At 33.6% G+C, this 15003-nt stretch overlaps 1 protein-coding gene across 47 annotated transcripts in view, besides 4 other annotated features; it reads right to left on the reverse strand.

The window, feature by feature from the left end:
* PIGN (phosphatidylinositol glycan anchor biosynthesis class N) overlaps positions 1–15003 on the reverse strand; it is a 169442-nt gene that overhangs the window by 89297 nt on the left and 65142 nt on the right. For 31 of the 47 annotated variants that reach the window (XM_047437431.1, XM_047437439.1, XM_011525894.2 and 28 more), the window contains 4 exons: positions 7650–7728; positions 6223–6405; positions 2923–3062; positions 75–174 (listed from right to left, as the gene is read on the reverse strand). In XM_047437431.1, the coding sequence (XP_047293387.1) occupies positions 75–174; positions 2923–3062; positions 6223–6405; positions 7650–7728 (502 nt within the window). The remainder of the gene's footprint in view (positions 1–74; positions 175–2922; positions 3063–6222; positions 6406–7649; positions 7729–15003) is intronic. The other 16 variants (XM_047437461.1, NM_001438910.1, XM_047437452.1 and 13 more) reach the window with 1 other exon arrangement.
* Positions 4023–4192: an enhancer, noted in NCBI's record as "experimental_48726/48728 CRE fragment used in MPRA reporter constructs". NCBI's record gives its function as "activates a minimal promoter by MPRAs in K562 erythroleukemia cells, with activity observed for both the introgressed and non-introgressed 18:59778252 or rs17642003 variant alleles {active_cell/tissue: K562}" and the evidence as "EXISTENCE:reporter gene assay evidence [ECO:0000049][PMID:34662402]".
* Position 4108: a transcriptional cis regulatory region, noted in NCBI's record as "Neanderthal adaptively introgressed variant 18:59778252 (GRCh37/hg19 assembly coordinates) or rs17642003 in the experimental_48726/48728 CRE". NCBI's record gives its function as "modulates activity of the experimental_48726/48728 enhancer by MPRAs in K562 erythroleukemia cells {active_cell/tissue: K562}" and the evidence as "EXISTENCE:reporter gene assay evidence [ECO:0000049][PMID:34662402]".
* Positions 7726–7895: an enhancer, noted in NCBI's record as "experimental_48738 CRE fragment used in MPRA reporter constructs". NCBI's record gives its function as "activates a minimal promoter by MPRAs in K562 erythroleukemia cells, with activity observed for both the introgressed and non-introgressed 18:59781955 variant alleles {active_cell/tissue: K562}" and the evidence as "EXISTENCE:reporter gene assay evidence [ECO:0000049][PMID:34662402]".
* Positions 10850–11019: an enhancer, noted in NCBI's record as "experimental_48746 CRE fragment used in MPRA reporter constructs". NCBI's record gives its function as "activates a minimal promoter by MPRAs in K562 erythroleukemia cells, with activity observed for both the introgressed and non-introgressed 18:59785079 variant alleles {active_cell/tissue: K562}" and the evidence as "EXISTENCE:reporter gene assay evidence [ECO:0000049][PMID:34662402]".

The following is a 15003-nucleotide window of genomic DNA, read 5'->3' on the forward strand; positions in this document are numbered from 1 at the left end:
AATAAGGTCATTTAATACTAGTTACAAATATATAAAAGAAATTTGCAAATGTTGTAATCTGGTAAGTTACTTACTAATACTTCAATTCCCAGGGTAAAGGCTAACAGGTACCCAACAAAATGGCTCAGAGGATAGGTCAACACTGATACAACAAGGTCCTGAATAACTTGAAATCTGTTTCAAATAAAAAGACTGATTGAATTTTAAAGTTAGGTCATACATAGTATAACAATACAAACTTTGCACAAAGCTAAAACACTACATAATTTTCCATTTATAGATTATTCAAAAACTAAAATAAGCTCTAACGGATTTGTTTCAAGGGCTTTATTTACCTATTTTTTTTTAATCTAGAAGTATTTTAGGGAAAATGTAATTTCTGAATTAATTTGAAAACGATCAGCCAGGTGCAGTGGCTCAGGCCTGTAATCCCAGCACTTTGGGAGGCTGAAGAGGGCGGATCACCTGAGGTCACAAGTTTGAGACCAGCCTGGCCAACATGGTGAAACCCCATCTCACTAAAAATACAAAATTAGCCAGGCGTGATGGCACATGCCTGTAATCCCAGCTACTCAGGAGGCTGAGACAGGAGAATAGCTTGAACCTGGGAGGTGGAGGTTGCAGTCAGCTGAGATCATGCCATTGCACTCCAGCCCGGACAACAAGAGCGAAACGCTGTCTCAAAAAAAAAAAAAAGAAAATGATCACAAAAGTTTGCTTGGTTTTTATAAGCATTAATGACAATAAATGAATCTTGTTTGATCTTAGTTTAAACACGGATTCATACAATTACAGATACAACATCAATATAAAACACAATGAATCCAAATGCATATAAACTGAAAAATTTTTTAAAATTCACCCAAGTAATCCTATATTTAAATCTTAATGAAATAAAGGTAGGGTTTCCTAATCTAGTTAGAGAAAAATCTTAATTACATTTTCTAACTGAGCTAAATAACCTTTTCCAAACCCAATTTAAGATGTCACTAATTGTACACTAACGGTAATCAAGTGAACTCATAACCATCAAAAATGTATTACATACTTGAGTACTTTTTACATTTCATCACTAGGAAAAAAAGTTAACATTTGTAGTGCATTATTAAGTAGGTAATTTTAGAAGGTCAGTATCATTTGGTTTATGACCTTTCTCTGACTGAAAGCAACAGCTGCAGAATTTCATCAAAATGAGGAAGGTGCCATGTAGGAAAGAAAAGCTAACACCAGTCAAAAGGGGAATGTTTCTTTTATTCTTAACAATGAATAAGCACAGAGGATCAACAGATGATTTTGTAAAATCATTTAGAAGACTGTGAATTTTTATGTCTTTTTCCTATACAATCTATCAAAAAGATAAAGATAGGACACAACATACTTTCAAAATCATGTTTTCCCTTAAAATTTAAATATATATGTTTTCTTCATAATTAGGACATTTAATAATTCAGGAGGGGTTCTGTACTAGATACAATTTTCTGCAAAGACAAAACCTTTTGTTCTAAAAGTTTAAAAACCAGACTAAATGACATTTTTAAAAATCTGAGTTAAATATGCGTATGCAACAACCCTATTCCTTTCAAATGGAGAGGTAACAATATGTTATTTGATCAGTGTCTTTTTGCCTTATAGTTAATATTTTAAGCATTTTAATATTAATATTAATTTTTGATATTTTTAAGTTAATTTTTTTTTTTGAGACAGAGTCTCACTCTGTCGCTCAGGCTGGAGTGCAGTGGTGCAATCTTGGCTCACTGCAACCTCCACCTCCTGGGTTCAAGCAATTCTCATGCCTCAGCCTCCTGAGTAGCTGGAATTACAGGTGCATACCACCATGCCCAGCTAATTTTTGTATTTTTAGTAGAAACATTTTGCCATGTTGGTCAGGCTGGTCTCGAACTCCTGACCTCAAGTGATCCACCTGCCTTGGCCTCCCAAAGTGCTGGGATTACAGGCGTGAGCCCTTGCACCCAGCCAACTCCGAAATATTTTTAATACATCATGTTTTAAAAGAAGGAAGAAGCAGTCAAAGCTAAAGTTAAGAAAAATTAGAATAAAATTATGCATAGTGTCACGATGCACATGTTAAGCCAACCTTGGGGATACCCTTATTATAATAGGCTCTCATTCTTTCATTGACTTTAGGGGTCTGGTTTGCTCAGAAAATACTTTGATATCCATGACTAAGTTTAAATTATAGATTACTGGTGTAAAAATAGAAACCAATAAGATCTGCAACATGACTCCAGCTGCCAGTGAGCATGAACTAGTACTCCCTTCTAGTGGTTTTATTAAAAGTGTTTGAAACTCACCAAAGAGCCTTACTTCTAATGTTTTCTACAATGTTAACAATACACTCTATTTTAAGTACAACCTGTGAGGAAGCACTTACAGGTAGAACCACAGCACATGTGAAAAATATAGACTAATCTCTGTGTGTAAATATAACCGTATTAGATTTAACTACAAAGTTTAATTTATCTAGATCTACACAATCGCTAGGAAAGGAGGAGTCAAAATGTATGGAAATAAAACATGCAAATATCTTTGTCAAATATGAAGATATATTGGAATCTGAGATGATGACACAAGTTCAAAATGCAAGTTAGTCTAGGCATAGTATGATCAATATTAATCGTTACTTTTATTCCATTTTTTTTCTATAAAAGATACACAAAGAAGTGAACACTGCCACTTCAGAAAAATAAAGATGAAGTCAAAAGGGAAAAGTACAACAGAAAGAATGTTTATATCCTACTCAACATTTATGCAGTTATAAATGAAGTGAGAGGGACTGGAGGTTTGAAAGTACAGTATTATAAATATATTTGATGACTTATGGTACAGAAATCTACTGCATTTTAAATACAGATTTAACTGTCAATGAAGTGAAAAAACAAGGCAGCAAGATGCATTACTTACTCTCTTAGAACCGCATACCATATTGGCAGTGGCAACAAACCATATACATAATATGTCCAGGGACAGGCTTGAATCAGCAGAAAAAATGCTACTAAAATGCCAATAGCTACAAAACTACAAGGCAGGAGATGGCTTGGTTTCTGAAAAATCAAACAAAACATTGAAACACTTCCAAACCAATGGTAATTGATAGGTTTTAAAAGAGATTTTATAAAGTAAAGAAAACCTATTACTTTCTTTCAATGGTTATACTACTAGATGATTAATCAAAGAGCTGCATTAAGACAAGGAAAAAAATCTATTATTTGAGGAGCATATTAGAGAGGAAAAACCTAGATAACCTGGAATTGCTGCAATTAAGCAATTCTCAACTTAAAAGTGACTATGGCCTTAAAGTTTGTTTGCAAGTAACTTGTTCAGAATTCTGAACATGTTTCCTTTTAGGAATATTTTATAAATGTTGATTGAGTTCTCTGGATAACTCGCAAAAGCCTATTTAATCCATAATAAGGTATGGGACTTAATTATCATTTGGAACAATGTCTTATCTATTCAAGCTCCAATGTGACAAGCTATCTAAGCTTCTCTCTCTATTGCCCACCCAATAGAAACTTCATTCAGTCATATGCACTATTCCCAATCACCTGCCAAAACAGAGAATTCATCAATCTAATTCACTAGTGATAGTCTGCATGGTGTAAAGGTCAGGGACTTTAAGTACAGGAGATTATCCTAGATAATCTGGGTAGTCCTCATTCAATCCGTTGAAAACCTTTAAGAGCAAAACTAAGGGTTCCCTAAAGGAGAAATTCTACCTGTTGAGTGCAGCTTCAGCTCCTGCTGGCGAGTTCAGTCTGCCTTTCCTGACAGCCTGACCTGTGAATTTAGGACTTGCCTAACTAGGCCCCACAATCACATAAGCCAATTTCTTATACTACATGGCACATGTGTACATATGTAACAAACCTGCACATTGTGCACATGTACCCTAGAACTTAAAGCATAATAAAAAATATATATATAATACATATATATATATAAATATGTATATATATTATATATATATATAGCCTGGTTCTATTTCTCTGGTTTTTATTAACGTACCAAACTCCTCACTAAATAAAGTGTAAATGCTGTAGTCCAGCATTTGAAGCCTTTGATTACTTCGGCCTAATCTATATTGTATTATTTCTTATCAGTCCCTCGAACAAACCTCCCACATTCTATACAAAGTGAACTATTTATTTTGAAGGAAGCATGGCATAGAAAGAGAAAGAATTCAAGTGTCAGAAAATATGGGTTCTGTCATTTAAAACCCATGTGTCCTTGTGGAAAACAGGTAATTTTTCTGAGCCTAAATCCCTCCATCTATATTATGAGAATCATAACCACCAAATTTAGGGTAGTGTTAAGCCTAACTAAATAACTTACATAAAGCACCCAGGGCAGTCCTGGAACAGTGGGGCTCAATACATACTACTATTAACCCAGAAGAACAGTACATCTTCCCAAATCTGCCTCTGTTTACATCATTCAGTTTGCTTTAATTCTCAACCTCTCCCTAGATTCTGACTGTTAAACTCCCACCAAGACTTACTTTTTCCTGTTATCGTCACCCTAAAGTCAGCTCTCATATTTAAAATATGATAGTCTTTTTATTATCCCAAACACTTTACATATCTTAAAGTTTTCTTTTGTAGTCGAGTGTAGATATAGTGACTTATGCCTGGTAAGGTGGTTGGTTATATGTGTACATCTCTTACCTACTTTATTAAATTCTAAGCTTCTTGATGGTAGAATCTGAATCTTTTATTTCTTTGTATAGCCTATACAGCAAGCTTGTCCAGTCTGCAGCCCACAGGCCACCTGTGGTCCAGGACAGCTTTGAATGAGCTTTAAAGCTCATCAGCTGTTGATAGTGTATTTTATGTGTGCCCCAGGACAATTATTCTTTTTCCAATGTGGCTTAGGGTAGCCAAAAGATTGGATACCCTTGCCAGCATCTAGCATTGTACCATACACTCAATTAAATATTGGCTGTATTATCAGATTAACGAATAATGAAGAACTATCAGCTATGAAATCTTGTTAACATATCAATATAAAAACATATTTTTTTCTCAATAAACTGAATATTAAGATAAACATGAAAAGGCACTCTCTGGCCCACGACTGCTCTGGATTAAAGTCTCAGTCCCTCACATGCTATCTGAGTGGCCTTTAATAAGTAACTTAATCCTCCTCAGCTTCAGCTTCCTTTTTTGCAAACATAAATTATGTCTACTTCTAGCACTGTTATGAGTTCTAAGAATGCCTAGATACAATTCCCATTCCAGCCAATTTCACATACACTCAAATAATTAAAATTACTTGGGGGAAATTATTTAAGATACATTAAAGCATTATACAAAATTATAATAAACACTAATGGCCTTACTTCCATTACAGAATAATAAAATATAAAATTGGAAAAGTTACCACTGGAAATATCTGCAGACTATTATTAAAAATACACCACCAGGATATATTACTTTTTAGAGAACTTGAACATGGTAATAATCATTAAAGAGAATGAAGCAAAGGAAATGAAAGTGGCATAGTGCCCCTGGTAAATGATAGTTAGAAATATATTTTAAAAGAGTAAAGTGTTTTAATGTAGTAAAACCATATACATACTGTTATATTGTCTCAGCAATATGAAGTATCATTAAAGAGATTTTTTTAATTTTTATTTTTTCACTGAAAGCATAGTAAAGTAGGAACAAATTCTTAAAATAAGAATACTTGGAGAGGTCTAGAAATCTGCATTTTGAGAAACTTCAAAAAGTTAAAAGAAGGTAAGTAATTAAAAAATGTATACATCATTTAAGAAGAAACATTATGAGCAAATAATTTTATTGTTCTCTAGCTCCCAAACTTTTAATATCAAATAAAATTAAACATATTGTTTTGAAGTAGTTTTCTGACCAGTTGTACTAGAAAGATATGGAATACTTATAAAATGCTAGTTATAAAATAAAACAGAAGGTCGACACCATTGATAACATAGGAGCACTTAAATTACTTACACCTCTATCTTTATAGCTTTCTTAAGTTATAGGATCATTATTATCAATATATCTTTTTCTCAACTGAAGAAACAGAGATAACTGAGGAAAAATCCAATACAATAAAAGCAAATGAAAGATAAACAAGAGTTAGCTTAGAACAATGACTTGCACATCCTATAAACTCATTACACTGGATTCAGTACTAGTGATTTTATACCATCATCTGAATCCTCACATTTTCTAAACGTACCTTCACTTCTTTACTAACACCTTTTATAAGGTTGGAATGAGACTTGATGATCAACAAAGAGGCATAAGATATCCATCCCACAAAACCAATAACAACATTGACGCCCAAAAAGAATCTGTCATATGTGTGATAATAGGACAATCCTTTCAATGCAAGATGAATTAGCTCCTTGCAAAGGGAGACCTATGGAGAAAAAACATATATAACTTGCTAACAGAAATAATAAGAAAACCTACATTTTAAAGAAAGGAAAATTTTAAATTCCTAACAGCCAAACTGTTGTATTAAAATTAGTGAATAACTGTAGATGATGGATTAAGAACAGATTTTAATTGTTCCAGGATCTTCTTTTAAAGTATGAGAAAAATTTGGAATAAAATGAACTTTTTAATCTTAATAAGAAAGGGCATTTTAAATGTAAACTATTTGTGTTGTATATGTGTGTTTGTGGAAATGATATTCAGACAACTCATAAAAGAAATGAAGGCTCTCTAATATAGGTCCCAAATAATGATAATGGCCATATTTATATTTTTTCTCATATGAGATTACTCAAATCAGTTATAAAACATCATTAAGTAGCTTAATATTTTACAGGAGAAGAATAGCTTATCATTTTAAAATCATCAAAAAAAGCATTAGAAATGCACGGATTGGCAATTATTTAGGCAATTTTAGAAATGAAAACAGAATTCTTTTCTACTTTAAAATTAAATGACCATTTAACAAAGAAAAATTAATGAAAAACAGTGAGATAGGAGTTTGGAAGAGTCAAAATTTCAACATGAATCATTAGACTTTTAATAATGTATAGATAATTCCAAGTGGCAAACATATAGTATTCTAAAATATTATACATTAAGAAGGGTGACACAAACTTGGCATCTATTTTCTCATTTTAAAAAATGGTAATAGTTTATTTCTAATGCTAACCTAAAAAAATGTGGGCCGGGTGCGGTGGCTCATGCCTGTAATCCCAGCACTTTGGGAAGCCAAGGCGGGTGGATCACCTGATGTCAGAAGTTCAAGACCAGCCTGGCCAACATGGCAAAACCCCATCTCTACTAAAAATACAAAAACTAGCTGGGTGTTGTGGCGCATGCCTGTAATCCCAGCTACTCAGGAGGCTGAGGCAGGAGGATTGCTTGAACCTGGGAGGCGGAGGTTGCAGTGAGCTGAGATTGTGCCACTGCACTCCAGCCTGGGCAACAGCGACACTCTGTCTCAAAAAAAAAAAAAAAAATTTACCCATAATATTAGTTGAAATAAGAGAGATCTGTCCACTGCTAAAGCAGCTACTCAGGAAATGCAATCCTTCCTTGAGGGCTCAAGAAAGCTCCCTGGCCTGCCTACTTTGCTCTATTTTTCTCCTCTCCATCCCCAAAATGATAATCAGCTATTTATGTCTATAAGGCCGGTATACTTACCACTTCATCAAACTTTCTGTGTTTTATATAAGATCTTGCTTTTCTTAAAATGTTGAACTGTTTGGAATCAGAAAGCAGTCTATATATAAAAAAAAGAATAGGTTTAAAGGGTTTCCTCATTCCAAGTATATGTTTCTTTTTTCCCCTTAATTAAAAAACAAAGATAGTGAAAATTACAAAACAGCAAACAAAACAAAAATCAAAGAAAAAAACCTGAATTGCTGTTTGTTCTCTGAAGTCTTCCAAGAAATAGCTTATAGTTAAATTTGGTTTTCTTGACTCGAAGTTTCAAATGCCAAACTACACTTATGAAAGTCATATAATCCATCATTCTGAAGAAATGTAATACTCTGGCTAACAAAGAAATTCTGATTAAATTGAAGTAATTAGCAGAACACCAAACGTATGGCATGAGCTCTGCCACTCAGTTGTCCTGTGCTCATGGCAGACTTCACGTGATTGAGGACAGATCCATCAATGTTCTTTTTATCCCTGAGCCAAACAGGGCCTGAGAATTCTTATTATCAAAGAGCTCCAGGCAGAGACTAACCACCATTGGAAGTTAATGAATAATTTGAACGTATTTGCTATTTTTATACTATATCATATACCTTCTTCGTTCCTCTTTCATTTCTCTTTCCACCATTTCCCTATCCTGTTTTACCAGAGTAGAAACACTAAATACACAAGAGAAATACTCCCAAAAAATACTGCATAACCCGAAACTACATAAAACTAAAGTCATTAAATTTATGGAATGTAGAAATTGAGGAAATATAACCAGAATTTAATTGTCTTAATGAAATAAATCTATATATTTAAATTCAAATTTGAATATATGCTGCTTAACTAAAACCTACATGTCTAAAATGAATGGCTTTACATTTTAAAAATGCATGCAAAGTTATTTAAGGCTATATTAGGTTGGATCACATGAAATTGATGTTTCATAGGCCAAAAACTACTAAATTAAATATTGGCAACTGCACATGGGTCGACATAATATAATCACTTATCTTCTTTCTACTTGGCTCAAGCAGTCTCTGAAGAGATAGGACTGAGACTTGTACAAAGTAAATCTTTTAAGCAGTAATTATTAATTTGGGAGGGGGGAGGGTCAGAGACTTCTTTCAGAATCTGAAACTCTTGTCTAGAAAATGTACATAATCCAAAATTTAAAATATAATTTCAGAAAATTCATAAACCCAGAAGCTTATCTATGAACTCTCTCAGAGTTCTATGGGATACTCTGATTAAGGATCTGTGCTTTGGCTTGGGACAGTGGTTCATGCTTGTAGTCCCAGCACTTTGGGGGACCGAGGTAGGAGGATCACTAGAGGTCAGGCATTCGAGACCAGCTTGGGCAACAAAGCAAGACCTCATTTCTACAAAAAATAAAAAAAGAATCTGTGCCTACTCTAAGAGCTCCCAGATATTCCAACTCAGGGGAACCCAACCACACTGGGTTCTCATGTTGCAGACTGCAGGAAAATTCCCCACCACTGGATTCACTGGGATTTGGAGGGAAAAGGTGCCACAAGGCAAAAACACATGAAAGAAAAACAAGTTACTTTAAAATGTTGCTTTGATCCAGTTCTCTGTACCTTCAGATACCACACATTTTGAAGTGTTTTCCCAGAAGCCTTAGTATAGCAATTACTGTGCCAAAGTGCATAGGCATTTTTTGGAAGGCTATATCTAAGTTGAATTTCCCAAATTTCCATAAAAGCTTTCTAGTTGACCTCCTTCCTCTTGCTCTGATCCACTCAGCTTCCTAAAATACTGATTGCATCCTCTCACTTACAATTGATATGGGCATCTCACTGTCTACTTCATCAATTCTAATCTTCCTGGACTATTGATGACCCTCTGCTGCTACTTCACTTAATTTCCCATTATCGCAAATGTGTACCCTCAGCTGCATAATGGTGAAACTCTTCAAGCTTCACCTAGCTGGTATCATAAAGATGTTCCCCTCTTTGCTTTCTAAAATCAAATATTCATCATCCTTTATGGTCTACTCCAAATCTCACTTCACATCATTAGCACTTCAGTTAGTGGTCTAATGATCAGTTTATTTCTCTTCAATTAAATTTTAGCCTCCATGTGGGCCAAGATAATGTCTTATATTCCATTAATATCCACAATAATACTTAGCAAAGTGCTAAAGCACATAAAATGAATCAATAAATTTTGAATACAATGCTATCAAAATATTGCAGACCTAAAAAAGGAAGAAAAATAAGAGACTACCATACGTTGCCATTTGTAATGTACCTAAAATTTAAAATAAAAAGAAAGGAAAAAAAGCTTGTCTGAAGCTAAATTACTTAAGCTAATTTAACAGACATTCTGTTAAGTGAAGTCTTATGAAGAATAAGAGAAAAAAATTCTTAAGGAGAAATATTTACATTATATATTATGTTATGTTATATTATATTGGAAGTATTAAGGTAAAGAAACAGGAGTCAGGGTAATTTGTAATTTTTCCTAAATGCACTATTTATAAAACTTGGGACATGCCAAAGGTAGACATATCAAAGATTTGCAATATATCTGGAATTCACCAAATGTTCTATACAAGCCTCAATGTATCACCATGACATTAAAGACTCTCATACACTTGTCCCCAAATATACGTTTTATTTTTAGTTTTCCATCAAATTGAGAGGGGATATAAAGTAAATTTTCTTGGTATCACATACTTTAAACATAAAGAGGTTTTGTAAGAAATATAAAGTCTAGAATATAGAGTAAAATATGTTCAGATTTATGTAAACAAAACCAAATAACAACAAAATAAATGGGGGTTGGCAGAGGAGTAATTAAAGGAATGCCATATGTGAACTAAAATGAACAAGGGAGATCTATACATATAAACATGGATAAATCCTGAAAACCAAACTAAATAGAAAAAAGAACTGTTAAATAAAATAGATTTTTAAAATAGGGATTGAAGTGTATTACACCATTTTATTCCTCAGCCCCCCCCTCTAAAAAGAATCTAAATATGGTAAAATGTTAACATTTTCTTAAACCTGAGTTGTGGGTACAACAATTTTTATTATATCCTCTATTCTTTTCAGCATGTTTGAAATATTTTATAAATAGAACTTGAAATATAACAAGAAGGATATACATATATCATGTATACATATGTATTCTTGTCTACTTCATCAATTCTATTCTGTCAATTCTTGTCTACGTCATCAAAGCTATTTTTTTTAGCTCCCACATATGAGTGAGAACATGTAAAATTCGTCTTTCTGTGGCGGCCTTATTTCACTTAACATAATGATCTCCAGTTCCACCCATGTTGCTGCAAATGACAGGATTTCATTCTTTTTTATGAATGAATAATATTGCAATATACAAGACGCATCATGTATATATACCATATTTTCTTTATCCCTTAATCCACTGATGGGCACTTGGATTGATTCCATATTTTAGCTACTGCAAGTAGTACTGCAATAAACATAGGAGTGCAGATTATCTCTTCAATATATTGATTTCCTTTCTTTTGGATATTATTGGATATTATTTAGATTATATTCCTGTATATATGTATACATGATATAGATAGATAGATACATAATAAACTGCAACTTTGCCTCCAAAGAAAAAGACTATAAGACTGGAATACAGGAGGAAAAGTGACTTTTTATTATTGTTTGTATAAATTTTATTGTGTGCATGCATTACTTGTTCATTAACACTTTTAAATAAAATGACTAAAACACTAAGATTTAACCATAACTTCTGGTTATGCCAGAGAAGCTTTGGGCATAGCAATGCTCCCACCAAGAACAACTAGAAAGCCCAATAAAATAAATTTGAAGGTACCAAAACAATCAAGTAATGAAAGGCTAAGATCCTAGAGAGAAGGAAACCACAGGGAAGTAATCCAAAATTCTACAAACTGTAACTCTGAGGGAATCTACCATTGTTATTCTTGGCACAAAGCAAGAGGCTGAGAATTTGGGGATATAGCTGCTGCCAGGAAGTAGAGAATCCAAGAGTCTTTGGCAATCTTGGAAGACTGGAGAGATAAAAATTAAAGTTTTTAGCTGCCAATGCAGCCAGAACTTGAGGACCTAAAAAGGAAGAAAAATAAGAAAATAATATACATTTTCATTGTGGATTTTTTAAGAAAGACATTTTAAAAGTGCATCTGGAATTTTAAACTAACACATATTCTGAGGTGAAATCTTAAGAAGAGTGAGAGAAAGAGCTTTTATAAGAAAGAAATATTATATTATACTATATTATTCAGAGAACTCAGGTAAAGAAAGAAAGGCCAAGTCTTGATGAGAAAAGAGGTGAAAAAAAAAAAAGGTAAGTCTGACACTCATTTGTATAGAACAAGAGGACAAGAAGCTAAGAAGAATGTCCCTGAAAAGCAGACAGAAGTTTTGGTAGTCTCAAGATGTACAAGAGACAAAAATTGGTATTCAGTGACCACCAGAGAAGAAAGGTTCTAGATACTACAAGGTCTGTATAGGGATCCCTGAGATACTACACTCTAAGAACAGAGACAAACCAGAGATCAAAGGAGGCTTAAAATCGCAGCACGGCCTTGAGTCAGCCACTACTCTTTGTGGCCATCAGAGGACAAGGCAAAACCTCTCTGGAGAAAAATGAGATAATCCAGAGATTCTAAAACTTTTAATATATAAAGATAAGGATTCATTTTAAAACTACCAGACTTAACAAACAAGACCAATTGAAAAAAAAAGAATCGAAACAAACTCACAAATGGTTTGGTTATTGGTATTATCAGGTACAGATGCTAAAATAATTATGGTTAATATGTCAAGAAGACAAGACAGAAAGTTGTAACAAAGAACAGAATCTATTTTTTTAAAAATCAAAATGGAAGTTCTAGAATTTAAAAACATTTAACAAGTGAAATTAAGAACTCAATAACAGCAATCTAGACACAACAGAAGATAAATCTGGTGTAACTCATGACAGAATCAGTAGAAAATACCTTGCCTGGGCTGGGTGCGATGGCTCACGCCTGTAATCCCAACACTTTGGGAGGCCAAGGTGGGCAGATCACTTGAGGTCAGGAGTTTGAGACCAGCCTGGCCAACATGGTGAAACCCAGTCTCTACTAAAAGTACAAAACTTAGCCGGGTGTGGTGATGCATGCCTTTAAACCCAGCTACTCAGGAGGTTGAGGCAGGAGAATTGCTTGAACCTGAGAGGCAGAGGTTGCAGTGAGCCAAGATCGTGACACTGCACTCCAGCCTGGGCAACAGAGTGAGACTCTGTCTCAAAAAAAAAAAAGAAAGAAAGAAAGAAAAAGAAAAAAGAAAAGAAAATACCTTGCCTGAAGCTTGAAGAGCAAAAAGACAGAAAAATACTAAAAAGATTATAGAAATAGAATGCGAGTCATGATGAAACAGGTCTAATATGAATGTAATTGGAATACCAGAGAGGGAGAGATGGAATATGGCAGAAGCAATATCTGATAAGATAAAGGCCAAGAACTTTACAAAACTAATGAAAGATACTAATCCACAGATTTAAGAACATCTACAAACCCCAAGCAAAATAAGTACAAAGAAAACCATGTATATGGACAGGCAGTAAAACTGCTGAAAACCAGTCAAAGAGAAAATCTTAAAAGCAGCTGGGGGAAGGGGAAGGGGAAGGGGACAAATTGCCTTCAAACAAATGACATTAAAACAGTTGGTCACTGAACAGGAATGATGGAATGACATCCTTAAGTTTCTGAAAGAAAATAACTGACAATCTAGAATTTCACTTGAAAAGATGTTTGAAAAGTTAAGGTAAAATAATGAATTTTCAAACAAATAACAACAGAAAAATGTCTTTCACTGGCAAATACCCTTGAAAAGAAATGTCATATCATAGACAAGAAATACAGAAATGTGGAAAGGAATGAAGAGCAAAAGGCACAGTGAATATATGAGTAAATCTAAATAAATGTTGATAATACAAGGCAAAAAGTTGAAATGTAGCAATATACTTATAATTAAAATATATAACAATAACATCAAAGGTATGAAAGTTATTTAAAGTTAATTTACATTAATTTAATTTATATTAAACTAATAATGTGCCCAAAATGCTTGTCATAATCTTTAACATGACCATGAAAAGGATGTATAAATAACAAGCCAATATGTGGGCAGGGGAGGGCTGGAAAATTAAAATAATTTAAAATACTTAATTAATCCTACAAAAAAACAAAATAAAACAGAAAAAGGAACATAAAACAGATGGGATAAATTGAAAACAAACCTAAATATATCAGTTATTATAGTAAGTATAAATGGTCCGAAAACACCAACTAAAAGAAAAAAAGTAGAATACTGGATAAAAAAACAAACAACAAAGTCAATTATGTGCTACTTACAGAAGACATACCTTAAATATAAGAACATCAAAATGTTAAAAGTGAAAGGATATGAGAAAAGACATAACACACAAATATAAACAATGCTGCTGTCATTATACTAATATAAGTCCAGGCATTGACTTTAAGGCAAAAGTCTTAAGATAGGGTGAGGGCATTGGCAAGGGCATTTGCCAATGACACACTAGAATGCAAAGACTAAGGTAATGCTGAGAGATGATGTAAGGCACAATAGAAAGCCAGGGATATTTCTGAAGAAGAAAAGGCTACAATAGCAGCCAGCAGTGTCATTTTAGTCTTAGGAAAAGTTGTTCTAGTAAGTCACATAAAGAGTTGGCACCACAATTCCTGTGCCCAGACCTCAGAATTCACCCATCAAACCACAGAGGTAAAAAAATTCCCATTCTAAACCTTATTCAGGCAATAAATCCAAGCACTTTACACATTTTTATCACTAAAAGCTGATAATCTATTGAATATTATTCAATAAATATTGAATATTTTATTGTTATACATGAATTAACACATAAATTATTCCATGATGCAGAAAAGTTTCTACTTCTTAAGGGCACAACCTTTTGCAGGGAATTCTATTTATCTGAATGGATGGTAAGAACATTTCCTATCTATTTTTTTTAGCTCCCACATATGAGTGAGAACATGTAAAATTTGTCTTTCCGTGTCGCTCTTATTTCACTTAACATAATGATCTCCAGTTCCACTCATGTTGCTGCCAGTGACAGGATTTCATTCCTTTTTTATGAATGAATAACATTGCATCATGTATATATACCATATTTTCTTTATCCCTTAATCTACTGATGGGCACTTAGATTGATTCCATATTTTAGCTACTGTAAGTAGTACTGCAATAAACACGGGAGTGCAGATTATCTCTTCAATATATTGATTTCCTTTCTTTTAGATATATATACCTAGTAGTGGAATTGTTGGATCATATGG

Source organism: Homo sapiens, chromosome 18 (genome assembly GCF_000001405.40).
Source record: "Homo sapiens chromosome 18, GRCh38.p14 Primary Assembly".
Lineage (NCBI taxonomy): Eukaryota > Metazoa > Chordata > Mammalia > Primates > Hominidae > Homo > Homo sapiens.